The sequence below is a fragment of the Homo sapiens genome, chromosome 4, assembly GCF_000001405.40.
Source record: "Homo sapiens chromosome 4, GRCh38.p14 Primary Assembly".
Classification (NCBI taxonomy): Eukaryota; Metazoa; Chordata; class Mammalia; order Primates; family Hominidae; genus Homo; species Homo sapiens.
This window is the reverse complement of record NC_000004.12, coordinates 154,406,510-154,421,098: the sequence shown is the minus strand read 5'-3', so window position 1 is coordinate 154,421,098 and position 14,589 is coordinate 154,406,510. Positions and strand designations below refer to the sequence as shown.

At 39.7% G+C, this 14,589-nt stretch overlaps 1 protein-coding gene across 2 annotated transcripts in view, besides 2 other annotated features; it reads left to right on the top strand.

Moving 5' to 3' along the window:
- Positions 1–14,589, top strand: part of DCHS2 (dachsous cadherin-related 2) — a 260,058-nt gene that overhangs the window by 70,701 nt on the left and 174,768 nt on the right. The window lies entirely within an intron of this gene.
- Positions 3,897–4,398: an enhancer, noted in NCBI's record as "H3K4me1 hESC enhancer chr4:155337853-155338354 (GRCh37/hg19 assembly coordinates)". NCBI's record gives its function as "activates a minimal SCP1, AML or CMV promoter by ChIP-STARR-seq in primed H9 embryonic stem cells {active_cell/tissue: H9 hESC(primed)}" and the evidence as "EXISTENCE:reporter gene assay evidence [ECO:0000049][PMID:30033119]".
- Positions 4,686–4,905: an enhancer, noted in NCBI's record as "active region_22074". NCBI's record gives its function as "activates an Ori minimal core promoter by ATAC-STARR-seq in GM12878 lymphoblastoid cells {active_cell/tissue: GM12878}" and the evidence as "EXISTENCE:reporter gene assay evidence [ECO:0000049][PMID:35858748]".

Sequence of the window (14,589 nt, the reverse complement as noted above, 5' to 3'; positions counted from 1 at the left end):
CCTATCATAGCATCTATGTCAACAAAAATTGCTGAATTGTGTTATTCAAATCACTGTCAGTGAGTGTGACTTCTGAGCCTTTTTTTTCCAATGATGGTAGTGTATATATTATATGCAGTAGTAGTAATTACCAGGTTACAAGTAGGCACTAGTAATTTGGTAATTACTAGTTTAGTTAGTATGCACCATCCACTCATGCCAAAAGAGTATCTTCCCTGCATAGCTACCAGTCCTCTACAATTGTCCTACTATGAGGGTGTGATGGTTAATTTTAGGTGTCAGCTTGACTGGGTTAAGGGATACCCAGGTATCTGGAAAAACATTACTTCTGGGTATGGCTGTGAGAGTGTTTCTGAAAGAGATTGCATTTGAATCAGTGGACCGAGTAAGGAAGATCTGCCCTCATCCAATGTGAGTGGGCACTATCCCATCAGTTGAGGGCCCAGATAGAGCAAAAAAGCAGAAGAAAGGTGAATTCACTGACTCTCCTGGGGCTGGGACTATCTTCTCCTGCCTGTAGACATCAGAACTCCAGGTTTTCCAGTCTTTAGACTCTGGGACTTGTACTAGTGTCCTGCCCCAAATCTCAGGCCTTTGGCTTTGGACTGAGAGTTACATCATTGTCTTCTCTGGTTCTCAGGGTTTTGGACACGTACTGAGGTATGCCATTCTCTTCCTTGGTTTTCCAGCTTGCAGATAGCACATTGTGGAACTTCTTGGCTTCTATAACTGTGTGAGCCAATTCCCGTGATAAATTCTCTCACATCCATCTATGTATGTATGTATGTACGTACGTATCTATCTATCTATCTATCTATCTATCTATCTATCTATCTATCTATCTATCTATCTGTCTGTCTGTCTCCCATCGGTTCTGTTTCTCTGGAGAACTCTGACTCCTTTTTTTTCTCACTTCTTCTCTCCATCTGGTCTCCCCAGCCCATCAAATCTACCTCTAAATATATGTCAAGTCTGCCCTGTTCAGTCAGCCCCCATGGCTGTTATTTTAAGCCTTGACTATTTCTACCTGTGTTAAACTAACAATCTCCTAACTTATCTAATTTACCTTCTTAGAAACCATTCTGTACTGCTACCAAAAAGGATGTTCTTAAATGCAAACTGGATGTCACTCCAGCTTGAAGGACTCCAGGATATACTCTGATTTTTCATCATCTCCTCCCTGCCTATATATGTCCACTTCCCCCTACACACCACAGTCCCTCATGCCCCAATCCTTGTCCACTCATACGTTCTTCTCTGGCTTTTTTTTTTTTTTTGGTCTTGTTCTAGTTCAAACATTTAGTTCTAGCATCACCCTGCTTTCTGTCCTGGAAACCTTCTTCACCATCTTCATATGGACTTAGATGACTCCTTTCCTCTATATTCCTTTAGTGTCCTGCACATCCTTCGTAATGGCATCCAGCTTTTTTTTTTTTTTTTTTTTTTTTGAGATGGAGTTTCGTTTCTTTTGCCCAGGCTGGAATGCAATGGTGTGATCTCGGCTCACTGCAACCTCCGCCTTCCAGGTTCAACGATTCTCCTGCCTCAGCCTCCCAAGTAGCTGGGATTACAGGTGCCCACCACCACACCCGGCTAACTTTTGTATTTTTAGTAGAGATGGGGTTTCACCACATTGGCCAGGCTGGTCTTGAACTCCTGACCTCAGGTGATCCACCCGCCTCAGCCTCACAAAGTAGCATTTTTAAAATATAATTGCTGCATCTCATTTTTCACACAATGTAAAAGTTGCTTGAGTTCCTCATAAATTTTGAATGAGTAGTTTGATATCCAAGCAGGTGAAAAACCTGCTTATAATAACCTACGTAAGTCCAGAACCTTACTCTATTTTCTGTATAAACACACAAAATAATTTTTGTGCTGACTTTATATACTTTGAATTACCCAAGAATACAACTACTAAGTAAACTGAGGTAAGATGAAACTTTATTTGTAACTTTACCATTTTGCAAAATGCGTCACTGATGGCAGCATTGCCTATTAAATTGAGTCACCTACTCAGGAGGCCTATTTTTGTAGCTATTACATTCATGCTGATTGCATGTGTGTTTGCATGTGCACCCACATGCACACATACACATGCATATAGGCTTGTTTTTTCTTTTAAAATGTCAAATATGAAGCATTCATTCATGTTCAGCATTCATGCTGTTTTTCTATGCATACAGCTTTATTTAGTCCTTATTTCAAATTGTAAAATATGTACAAAAGCTTATGGAATGGTGTCTTCTCATAACTCCAAACTTACTCATTAAAAATATGTGCAAATATCTATCTCATTGTGTTTCCTATTGTAGTCATACCTACATAATTACATATTGAAATACATGATATTTTACTATGAATCACTTTTATTTTCCCTTTATATTATAGCTAGGACATTATATCGATGTCATAAAAAATTTATATCAGGGTAGAAAAGGAGATATTACAAAATGCTTAACTAAAAAGAGTGCATGGATCTAAAAGGGGAGAACAACTGGCATTTTGTGTCAATTTTGCAATAGCAAAATTTTGTTACATTGGCTCTTCTGAAATAAATGTTTTTAATAAATACTTTACAAATTCCTTTGATATGTTCTTTTATGTTTTAGCTGCAGTGGTGTGATAATCATCCTTTCTAAATGGTGGAAGAGGAAAAGGGAGTCTTAGTGAGTGGATTAAAGGCACTCTCAGCTGGCGACACCTTGCAAGGGGCTTCTGCCATTTGAAAAGTAGTGTCCTGTTTTTAATCAGGTAGTGAGCTGGGCACTGAGACACCTGGCGTTAGTGCTGATACAGCGGGGCCATGTGCCTAACTCTGGGCACATTCATGGGTTTTCTGAGCCTCGGGTTCTACATATGTAATATGAAAGAAATACATGCAATTATTTGCTGGTTTTCACATTTATTCTGATAACTATATCCCTAGAAGAATACCATGACCTACAGGTGCATTTAAAATTATTGTATTAACTAGAAATAATTGTACGACAGAAATTTGACCATATAATATAAATGTTACAAAAATAAGAATATTTGTTCAGAAAAAGGCAACCTTCCAAACTAAGAATGGGTAGGTCATTTTTCCTACTAATATCATTTAAGGATTGTTCACTTTTTCTGACATCCACTGGTGTTTGCTGGCAAATAAGCAAAGATGAAATGGTTAGAAAAAATATTGGGAAAAAAAGCTTAACATTGAGAAATTTTAATTAACTTAGTTTGTTCTCTGAAAGTTGAGAAAATACCATATTCTGGTAGTAGAATATAGAAAGAGAATTGAAAGCCTAGTTGATTTTTAAGATAGTTTCTGCTATTAGAAGGATTTTATGTTTTGTTTTCCAGGTCTTCCTAAGACAACACTGATTCTCACAGAACCAGGACACTTTTTTCCCCCTGGCCATGTTAGGATTGTTCAGTTTAGCAAAGAAAAAGGGTGCTCAGTGAAATCTGAATTTCAGATAAACAATGAATAGTTTTTTGTTTTGTTTTTAGTATAATCATGTCCCAAATAGTGCATAAAACAATTTGATTTCTGAAACAGCTCAGATTAACCAGTCCACTACTAATGTTTGTAGGTTTTTCTCGTGTGAGGTCAAAAAATATCGTGAGATCCCTCCCTTGAAGCAGCTTATTGGGGCCACAGTTGCTCTGAGGGAGTTAATTAAAACAACTGTTGAGTAATAACAAAGTGCTTTGGCTTAAATGGAAATAGTTCTTGAATTTGGCCAAGGAAGTCTGGTAAGGCTACTAATCCTGAACATTAAACTGTCAAAAATGTGCTCACAGTGCACTTGGGAGTCTGCACTGTAAACGGGAAGAATGACTCCCAGTTCCCCTGACTGGTCTCTCTCTCTCTCTCTCTCTCTCTCTCTCTCTCTCTCTCTCTCTCTCACACACACACACACACACACACACACACACACACACACACACACACTCGGGACCGGCCTGAGGTGGTGACAGGTGGTTTTTGTGTGGTTTTAGCCATGTGATTCGCGTTTGTGTGGCTTCTCACAGAGGGCGACCCCGCCGCGATCCTGTGGTTGTAGTTGCAGCTCCTAGTAAAATAGTGCCGCTTGGCGTCCGTGATCCCTGCAGCTGGGAGAGGGTAATGGGAGGACGGGAGTGACGGGGACAGACAGAGGCCGGGGGTGACAGGAAAGGAGCGATTTCGTGTTAGTTTTGGCCTCGGAGTGTAAAAACATCTGGGAAATAAAATGAGCCACGCTGACTGGAAATGTGAACGTTCGCCAAGATTATGTGAGGAAGGTGCAGCGAGGAGCTGGAGCAGACACTTTCCTGCCTGGCGCCGCCAGCTCGGAGATTTAAACAAGCAGCACCGGGGAAACCGTGCTGTTACACAGGGGGAAACTAGCTTATTTATAAGTGTTTTTATTCAGTTTGATTTTCCCCAGTTCCTCTTCTGTGGTACCAAGTTGGTTGCTTAGGAAAGTGGGTGGAGTTACCGTGTGATCTGAGGGGCTCAGAAATCAAAGTCTCAAGTCTTGAGATGTCAGAAATGTCCGGCTAGAGCCTAGGACAAGGTGTTTGGAGGATCAGATGGCACAAAAGAGGAAACAATAGGAGCAGGACTCAGGGAGCCTGAAGATTTAATAACAGAAGGAAGACGTATTCCTCGTCGGGTGGGGAATAACACCAGAGGCCTGAAGGAAAAGAAAAAGAAAAGATGTTGGATAAACACAGCCTCCCTGCGCTGTCAGCTGCTAATGATCCTGGGATGCGAGGTGGGGGCGCTGTGAGGTCAACTGCGTCCCTCTGGCAGGAAATAGAAGACGGGGCTGATGCAGCTGTGCTCCTCTGTTTCTGGTGTGGACCCTCCTTCCAGGCTGTCCTCGGGGCCTATCCTGTCCCCCGTCTCTGGGCTCTCTTCCTGTGGGATCTCCCCAACTTTCAGACAGCTGATCATGACCATTTGACTTAGCGCCCTCTTCCTACCCCTTCTCTTGTGCTCATCTCAGTTCTACTGCATCAGCCTTCAAACTTTTTGGACTGAATGTACCTATTAATAAAAGTTTTGAGTACTCATCTCCAGTATATGTTTATTTCCTTATAAACCACGTGCAAGAATTTTGTATACAGGTGTATAAATGTGAATGTATACATGAAATAAAAATGAATATAGAAGATAAAATATGAATTTAAAATATATAAGATAAAAATATTTAAAAAATAATAAAATGGAAGAGGTAAAAAACTTATTTAAGTGAATTTATGTTTTCTTCCTACAAGTCTGTCCATCAATTCCCTTGGAGAAAACTCAGAGTGTTCTGCCACTTTTTGGAGACCTCTGGGTGGAGCTGATTCCTGGCCACGCTTTGGGCTGAATCTGATCTCATAGTCATTTTCCTCACCGACCTCGGTTTCCTCCTAATTAGCTCCATCTTACTGACGCTCGGGACCTGGAGATACCGTAGCTTTAGGTCTCCAGTACCCAAGGTCAGGCTTACTTGAGATTCTTTAGCTAAGTCTTTCTGTCTTTCCCCCAGTACCGGAAGTCAAAGATAAATATCTGAATAATCTCAGACTGCCTCTGGTTGCTTCTCCAAAAAGGAGGAATTCTGTCAAATGCCAGCTCATTCAAGAGCAGATTTAGGAGTAGGAATGCCTCTAAGTAATAATGTGGTGGCACCCCCAGAGGCAGGAAATCCATGGCAACTGAGAAAGGCTGGGTCTCTGGGAAACCTGAGGCTACTGAAAATTTGGAGCAAGTTAGGAAATTCTATTGCTAATGAGTCATGGGCTCCAATTAAATGTATATGCAATTAAATCTATGTATAAGTCAAAACAAATTATGAAATGTTTCATCAATATTTGAGAGAAGATTAGAAATGAATCCTTGTAATTGATTGAAAATACTGTTCAAATTAGTATCAGATTTCTGAAAAAATTTTTATGGTTAGTTCCCTCATCTATTAATTTGCAAATAGCATCAGTTATATCAGGTCCCTCCCGGTCTTCAGTAGTATAACTAAATGATACTGATTTAGGCAGAGAAAATAGCCATGTGTTAGGCAGTTGAACAGCTGCTAAAGAGGACAGTATGTTACAGGGGTGAACCTTTTGCCATACCCACATGAGCTCATCTGGGAGCTGTAGCCGCGGCATCACCTTCTTAGCAGCTGTCAAGGAAGGCAAGTACTTCCACTGTTGAATGGCTGTGTTCCCCAATGGCATGACTGCCAACACAGGTTCAGATCATTCTAAACTCCCTTTTCTCTGTCCACTCTTGATTTTCCTTATAACCTGCAGTATCCCATTTAGGAAAGAGGTGAGCAAGGTCTCATTTTCAGTCTTTCCTTTCACTTCTCTATCACGAATACCTAAATCAACTTTTACATATTCATGTAAGAAAAGGCCTATCCCCCATCTTGGTGGGTATTAATGTTTTAGTACTTTAAAAGCATAGTTTTATGCATGAGATGGGGAAGTTGTAGTTGGATAGCAGTCCAGTGACAGTTAGTGATAAATTTGTGTTTTGAGTAGAGAAACAAGTGTACAATGATGTCAGGAATGCTTCTTGAATTACGGCCTAATTTTTGGCAGTTATCATATGTCCCTTGGCCAAAAAAAAAAAAAAAAAAAAAAAAGAAAGCTGTATGGAGATATTTTTTGTCTTCACTTTATATTATACTCTCTGGGAATTTTCTGCTTTGCTTCCTTTAATGTTAGAAACTCAACCTAGGAGGATAATTTATAGTGTTAAGCATTTTGTGTTTTGATTGGGTTTAAAGAAATGCTAGATTTAAGCTCTGAGTTAGTACTTTGTTTTAAATCTTGAAAAAGTAGATTAGTAACTGAGCTAGTGTTTTCGAATCTTCTTCTAAACATAAAGAGATATCACTCTGAATTGGAACATATATCTATATCTCTCTCTCTCTATATATATATATATATAATTGATTTATTTGATTTATTTCTTCAAGAAATATTTATTGACTGTTTGCCCTCTATCTGCCCTATTCTAGAAGCTGAGGAGATAGTGGTGAATAAGAAAAAAGGCCTGCCATATGGAATTTATTGTTATTTTTTTGTAGGGAGGAGAAGAGTCTTGATAATAAACCCCAGTAAGCAAATAAATGAATAAGATTATTTTAGATCTTAAGTACAAGAAGGAAAATAAAGCAGATATATTAACCAGGGTCTCAAGAAGACAGAGCATGCAAATTAGTATAATTTAAGAAAAGTTTAATAAAAGTTCTGTTTACAAGGGTAAGGGTAAGGGCATGGTAGGAAGCTATAAAGTAATGCAGTGCTTTGGGGTTAGTAACAGAAGTAAACCCTAAAGTGGAGGGCACAGTTATGTGAAGGACAGGGAGGCCAGGTAAGGAGGGCCATCTTATAGGGGTTCTGACCTTCAGTGAGGGCCTCAGCCAGCCCTTGGGTTTCTGCAGGGAAGGAACTGGAGAAGTAAGTACCCAAACTCACTGGCTCCCCCATTGGCCTAACCTACTGGAAGTCAGATGGTAAGGGAGCTGATGACATAATCCATCCCTACAGGTCAGCCTTCTGGGACACAGATCAAGTGGGAGAAAGGTGGAGCATGTGGCTCTGGAGCCACCTGGAGATATCCAGCATCAGAGAGAAATGAGATGTTATATAAAACTTGCATTTCTTGATGATCTAAAATGCAATGTCTCAAAGATGCTGACAGTTTATTTAAGGTGATCAAAAATAAATTCATGAAAATATAAGTAGCAATATAGAACTGGATATAGGTGACAAAAAGTGGTGTTCATCTACACCATAACTCTTAACATTTGAGAACAGGAAAAGATTGCTTCTACTTTGGAAGAAGAGGAAACATTTAATGGAGTGAGTATAATTGAAATTGGGCTTAAGGAATGGATAGATTGTTAATAGTTGGAAAGGAAGAAGGAAGCATGCCAGGAATACAAAATGTCATGGGCCAAAGTGCACAGATAGGACATGTTTTAGAAATAAATTGGCTCCAGTGGTTGGATGTTTCTATAATCCTTTCAGAATCAGACTTGTAATTAAAAATAAGCCTGCTCTCTTCTAACCTCCCTACCAGTGTAAAGATTATGTCTGTCAATGCTGGGTAGCTTCCTTCCTTCCTCCTCCTCTTCCTTTTCCTCTCTATTTCTCTTTCTCCTCTCTTCTTACTTCTGTGCTTTTCAACAAAAATTTATTGAGCGCCCATGATTTGCATAGTTGCAATAAGTAAGCAGTATGTCACTGTGTCGAACAAGACCATGTTTTCTACTTTATCAGGGAGTTTAGTTAGAATTTCAGCATTCCACAGGGTTTTTCAGTAATTCAACAAGGTAATAATAATACAAACACTTATGTGAACATTTGTTATATGCCAGATACTATTCTTATTCAAGGAGACTTGGTTTGTCTTAGGAAGAACGTATGAAAAGCTTAGAAGAAGGGATTACTGAAATGATCTCCCACATTTTAGTCCTATAAAGCTATGTTTGATTGTTTCAAAAGTGCTCGTTTGCTGAAATATTAAATTGACTGGACAACCTACTGCTTATCAAGTGTGAATAAGATTTCAGTTTTGCGTATATTATGGATGAGGAACATTTTCTCGGTGAGGGACCCATTGAAATTGAGTTTGGGTCCAGAGTGATATCCTTCCACTCAGTGGAAACATTTCCTTCTCTTCCTCTTTTTCTGGAATTCCAAATGTCTTGATGGTGGGGATGAGAAAGGCAGCTAGACTGAAAAGAGGATTACTCACTCTGAAGGCTCAGCTTGAGGACATGCTGAAATTGATGGGGGTAAAACGTTGTTGGGTCGTCTACAGAGGAGGTGAGAAAGAAGATTTTGCTCTGCGCTCAGAGAGATGCTTCTTTAGAGACATGCAGAGGTTTCTCTTTATTCCCAATGTTGACAAGAGAGAATTCACTTGGAAAAAGAGATCTTAGCAATTTTGTGCTTTTTTTCTCTCTCTCTTTGGGAACTGTATTTCCCTTATAACTATCTTTCTTCTTATAATTAAACCAAATCAAATTTATTTCATATTTGAGAATGCATGATACAGTAAATTAGTACATAGAATTCAGTTTTTAAAAATTATTTAAGCCCTATATTAAACTCTATTCCTCTGAAAGTAAACCCATAAACATTACATTATAAAATGTTAATTGGGTCAATTGCATGTAAGAATAATTCTGTGTTTTTACACTAAATAAATTGTGTTTTCTTTATTTCTATAAATAAAACCTTCAGGCTTTTTTAGAAAAATAAAATGTATTTTGTATATGTAAGGTGTACAGCATGATGTTATATGATACATATACTGTATATAGTAAAATTGTTACTGTAGTGGAACAAATTAACATTCATCATCTCACATAGTTATCCATTTCCCTTCACCTGGTGGCAAGAGCAGCTATAATCTACTCATTTAGCAAATATCCTGAATATAATACACTGTTATTAACTATAGCTTGTGTTGTAGATTAGGTCTTTTGACTTGTTCAGACTTGTTTATTCTTTTCTTTTTTTTTTGAGAGGGAGTCTCTGTCACTGAGGCTGGAGTCAGTGGTATAATCTTGGCTTATTGCAACCTCTGCCTCCCAGGTTCAAGCGATTCTTCTGCCTCAGCCTCCCGAGTAGCTGGGACTACAGGCACGCGCCACCACACCTGGCTAATTTTTGTATTTTTAGAAGAGACAGGGTTTCACCATATTGACCAGGCTGGTCTTGAACTCCTGTCCTTGTGATCCACCCACCTCGGCCTCCCAAAGTACTGGGATTATAGGAATGAGCCACAGTGCCCCGCCCCAGACTTGTTTATTCTTTTTATTTGCTACTTTGTATTCTTTGACCTACATCTCCTTATTTCTACCTGATAACCCATCCCTATTCTACCCTGATAACCACTGTTTTATTCTCTATCACTATGTATTTGACCTTTTAAAAAAGGATTTTGCATATAAGTGAGATCATGCAATATTTTTCTTTCTGTGTCTGACTTCTTTGATTTAGCATAATGTTCTCCAGGTTTATAGCAAATGGCATTTATAGCAAATGGCAGGATCTCCTCCATCATTTCTGAAGGACGTATTTCCTGTGTATAGTATTCTTGACTGACAGTTTTTGTTGTTTTTCCTTGTAGCATTTTGCGTATAACATCTCATTCTCTCCTGGTCTGCAAGGTTACTGCTGGAAATTCACTAGTAGTCTAGTGGGGATTCCTATATATGTCAATACTTGACACTTCTCTTGCTGCTTTAAAAATTCTTTGTCTTTGATTTTTGACTGGTTAATTATAATGTGCTTCAGAGAACACCCCTTTGAACTATTGAATCTATTTGGAGACTTTTGAACTTCATGGATGTCAATGTCTGTATCTCTTCTAAGACTTAAGAAACTTCTGGGAATTATTTCATTAAATAAGCTTCTGTCCCTATCTTTTTCTCTTCTCTTTCTGCAACTCTTATAATGTGAATGTCTGTTTGCTTATTGGTGTCCCATGAGTCCCATAGGCTGCCTTCATTTTTTTTTTTTTTTTTTTTTTTTTTTGAGATGGAGTCTTGCTCTGTCAAAGTACTGGGATTACAGGTGTGAGCCACCGTGCCCAGCTGTCTTCACTCTTTTTCATTATATTTTCTTTTTTTTTTTTTTTTGCCCTCTGGGTATTTTCAAAATACCTATCTTGAAGTTTAGAGATTCTTTTTTCTTCTTGATGTAGTCTACTGTTGAAATTCTCTATTTTATTTCTTATATTATTCGTTGAATGTTTCAGCTTCAAGATTTCTGCTTGGTTCTTTTGTATGATATCCATCTCTTTGCTGAATTTCTCATTAAAGTAATCAATTTTTTTCTTGATTTTATTGAATTTTCTATCTGTATTCTCTTGTATGTTGCTGAGTTTCCTTAAGATTATTATTTTAAATTTTTTTTCAGGCAATTTATAAATTTACTTTTCTTTGGGGTCAGTTACTAGACATTGTGTTCTTTTGGTGGTATCATGTTTCCTTGCTTTTTCATTCTTTTGTGGCCCTGCATTGCTGGCTGAGCATCTGGTGGAATAATCACTTCTTCCAAACTTTACGGAGTGGCTTTTGTAAGGAAAAACTTTCACTACAGGTGGGTCTTAGTGTGCCAGTTGGGAAGGGTGTGATGACTTTGGTTCCAAGTAGATGCAGTGGTATAGCATCTGTGCAGGTTCTTCAGCTGCAATCAATGTCAGTGATGACTATGGTGTTTCAGTGGGCTAGGCTACAGGAGTTTGTGGCAGTGGTGGCAAGAGCATAGGTTGTTAGGGTCCTCAGAGGTGAGGGCTTTTGGGACCTTTTCTTCTTGTTTTCCCTATAATGGGTAATCTTAGTTGAGGGGATCCCTCTTGGTGTCATGTCTGACATGACCCTTAAGCAACGGCATTGGTGCTGGGTTCCAGGACACAAATGCTCAGAGTGGCTGTGGAGCCAGAGTCCTGTGCTCAGGAGCTTATGAGCCTATTGTGGCACCAGGGTCTTGGGGTACAGGGTGAGTCTCCAAGGCATGTTTGGATGAAGATTACCCACAACGTTGGGATCTGTTACTCTGAGGAATCCCCTGTCAGCTCAGGCTCAGGAGGCCAGGTTGTAGCTGACCCTTGGGGACAGAGCACGGTACTGGCCTGTCTCTGGGAAAGAAGAGATTCTCTGGAGGTTTGAGTTCGGTGAACAGGGTACAATCACAATTTAGGAACCAGAACCAATAAGGCACAGTGGAAACTCAGGCCCCAGAAGATAAGACACTGCATAATGGTGACTCTGGACCCTGGGATGATGGGACATGGCAGTATCTCAGATTCTGTGGGGTCAAGTATGGCAGCAGCAAGGACTCTGGAATGGTGGAGCATAGCTGTCACTTGGGCCCTGGGAGGCAGGGGCAACACAGTAATGACTCCACTCCCTGGACTCAGCAGCCCAGACTCTACTCCACTTCCAGGGAAACAGGGTACTGCGGTCACTTGGCCTGTAGGACTAGGTGTCTGAGCTCAGCCAATGCTCGGTTTCTCTAGGACATGGGGCTCCACGTCAGCTTAGTCCTGAGATGCTTGACTGCTTGGCTTGTCCAAGGCACTGATTCCACAGGAGATGATGAGCTCCTTTATCTCAGGCCCATTTTGTGTGACTGCTCTGGGCATCCAAGGCATCATCTCCCCAGGGGAACTCCACGCAGCTCACTCATCTGGGCTTAGCCTCTGTGAGAACCTCAGATGTTCCCAGTGGTGAGGTCTGTAGGTGTCAAAAGTGGTGATGAGGACTGCTGGGGTCCCCTTGCTTACTTTTTCTCCGCAAAAAAAAGTACCTCCTAGTTCCAAGCTGATCCCAACTGGGTGATGGGGTGGTGGAGGCCAGATGTTTTCTTCTCTTTTCTTTGTGTCTGTCGTAGGTTACTGTGCTCCACAGGGTTTTTGCTATTCCTTTGATGTACTCCAGCACTCTCCTTTAGTTATTTTCATCAATATGTAGTTGTTTATTTTTTGTTTTGGCTGTATTTGTGTGGGAATGAGTGCTAAGGGCTTCTAGTTGGCTATCTTGCTTTATTGCATTTGACCTTTCCTCTCATAATTCTTAAATCTTTCCTTTTTAACTTTAAACTATTAAATTAAAAAATAAGTTATATACAAAATAATGATGGCCTATTTTAGGAAAAGCCAGTACATTTTATTTTCCGTGGTCAACATATACAAATTATAGATTGATCTCCTATGAAAGTTTTCCTCAAGGACTATTAAGCTTCTTGGATAGAGTTTCAGTGCTATTCTTATTAAATTTGCTCATTAAATATAGCTCTGGCACCATCATAATATTTAAATCAGAGTAATCATTGAGTGACAAATGAGATAATATGATTAATGTAATTTTAAAATGATCTGGCTGAATGTATTTCACACATGAGAGAAGTGTTTTAAATTTGCATTTTTATCACTAAAATTCTGGAACATAGGTATTGAGAAGTTAATTTTAAAGTTATATTAGTATTAACTTTCTCATTCTTAAACTTGTTTTCTAAGGTTAATTCCATATCAAATACGTACAGAGATGAAAGATACTATTTGAGCAGAAACCCAGAGAAACTTTCCATGACATGGGCAGTCTGAGGGTGAGAGGTGGACGGTACTTGGGGTGGGTGGGAGGAGCAGCAGGGAGGGTCTAGTTATAGAAACTTTTGCATTTGTAAGGAGATGAGGAGGAAAGGGGTCATGAAAAAAGAGAAAATGCAGGATTTAGTAAAGGGAATGCATATCTTTATGCAGGGCTTTTGCTCTGACCTACCAATAGAAAATGGTTTCCCAGGGACTGCCACTGTGGAGTTTGCCATTAAGCAGATATTTGCAAGCACTGGTGCAACTGCACCCTCCCAGACCCTGCAGGAACTTATGGGAAGCACTGTACCAAGACTGAGGGGGAGAGTCTCAGGGTTGTGTGGGGCACCTCACTGGCATAGTGGGGGATTTTCAGAGTCAGTGCTCTCAGCTGTGACAGAAAGCAACCAGGACTTTGTTTCTGGTGAAATGTGTGACTACTTTAAAACAAGTATGTGGAAAGGCAGAGCAGTCCTGGGATTTAGAAAAAAGTAGGACTTCCTGTCACAAGAAAAAGAAAAGGTTTTATGTGTATGTTCAGCTTGGAATGTCTACTTGGATGAGGGCTATGCAATAGTTCAGAGTTAACACATAACCTCTGCCTCCACCACATACCTGAGAGGCTCCAAGTTTTTGCTCTTGGTTAAGCAAGTTGGGGTTGATATAAAAAAGGAGGAGAACATAGAAACCTTTCAATAGCAAATTAACAGAGATCGTATACAAGATACCTGGGAGAAATAGAAGTTAAGGTCCATATGACTCAACCTTCTAAAGCCAGATTTGTAACAAGTAAGAAAATCCCCATGATGGTGAAGCAGCTAGAGAGCCCTCAATCCCAAGCGAAAGATGCCTGAGTCCCAGAATTTGGGCATTTCCTTGTGTATCCTGTCCTCCCTCATGTTGCCATAAAACAGATTTTTGTGAGCATTTATTCTTTGACTCATTGCAGACACCAGTATGTGTGGGACAGTCTCAGGATTGCCTAGAACTTGGGAGGGTGGCTGCTTTCATAGTTCTTGCAGTATTTGGTATCTCACTGCATTCATGAGGAAAATGATTGATAGATGTGGCATCTTTTTTCTTTTGTGAGAGAGACCCCAAGGAGGGGAAGATTGGAACATGATGCTGATAACTTCCTTTCCAACGCAGTCACTTATGTCTCAGTCCCAAGATTTGTTGGAAGAAACTGTGGGATATACAGTCAGATGCCATTGGGAAATTGACAATGTTGTCCAACACAATAGCAAAAGAAGAAAGGAAGGTAGGATCTATGCTGCAAGTCAGAAGAGATTTTCTTTCCACAAGTACATATAACATGTAAGTCCTCTGAGAGAAAACTGTGTAATAGATTTGTCAGGATTCCAAAAAACTTTCCTGGAGTAAGATGTAATGAGATGAAGGAATTTAGTCATTAACATTCTTGGGTGGGGTTGATTTTCACAAGAAAAACAATAAGAGCTATATCATTTGCACTTCGAGCTACAACAGAGTAGCCAATACTGGACTTG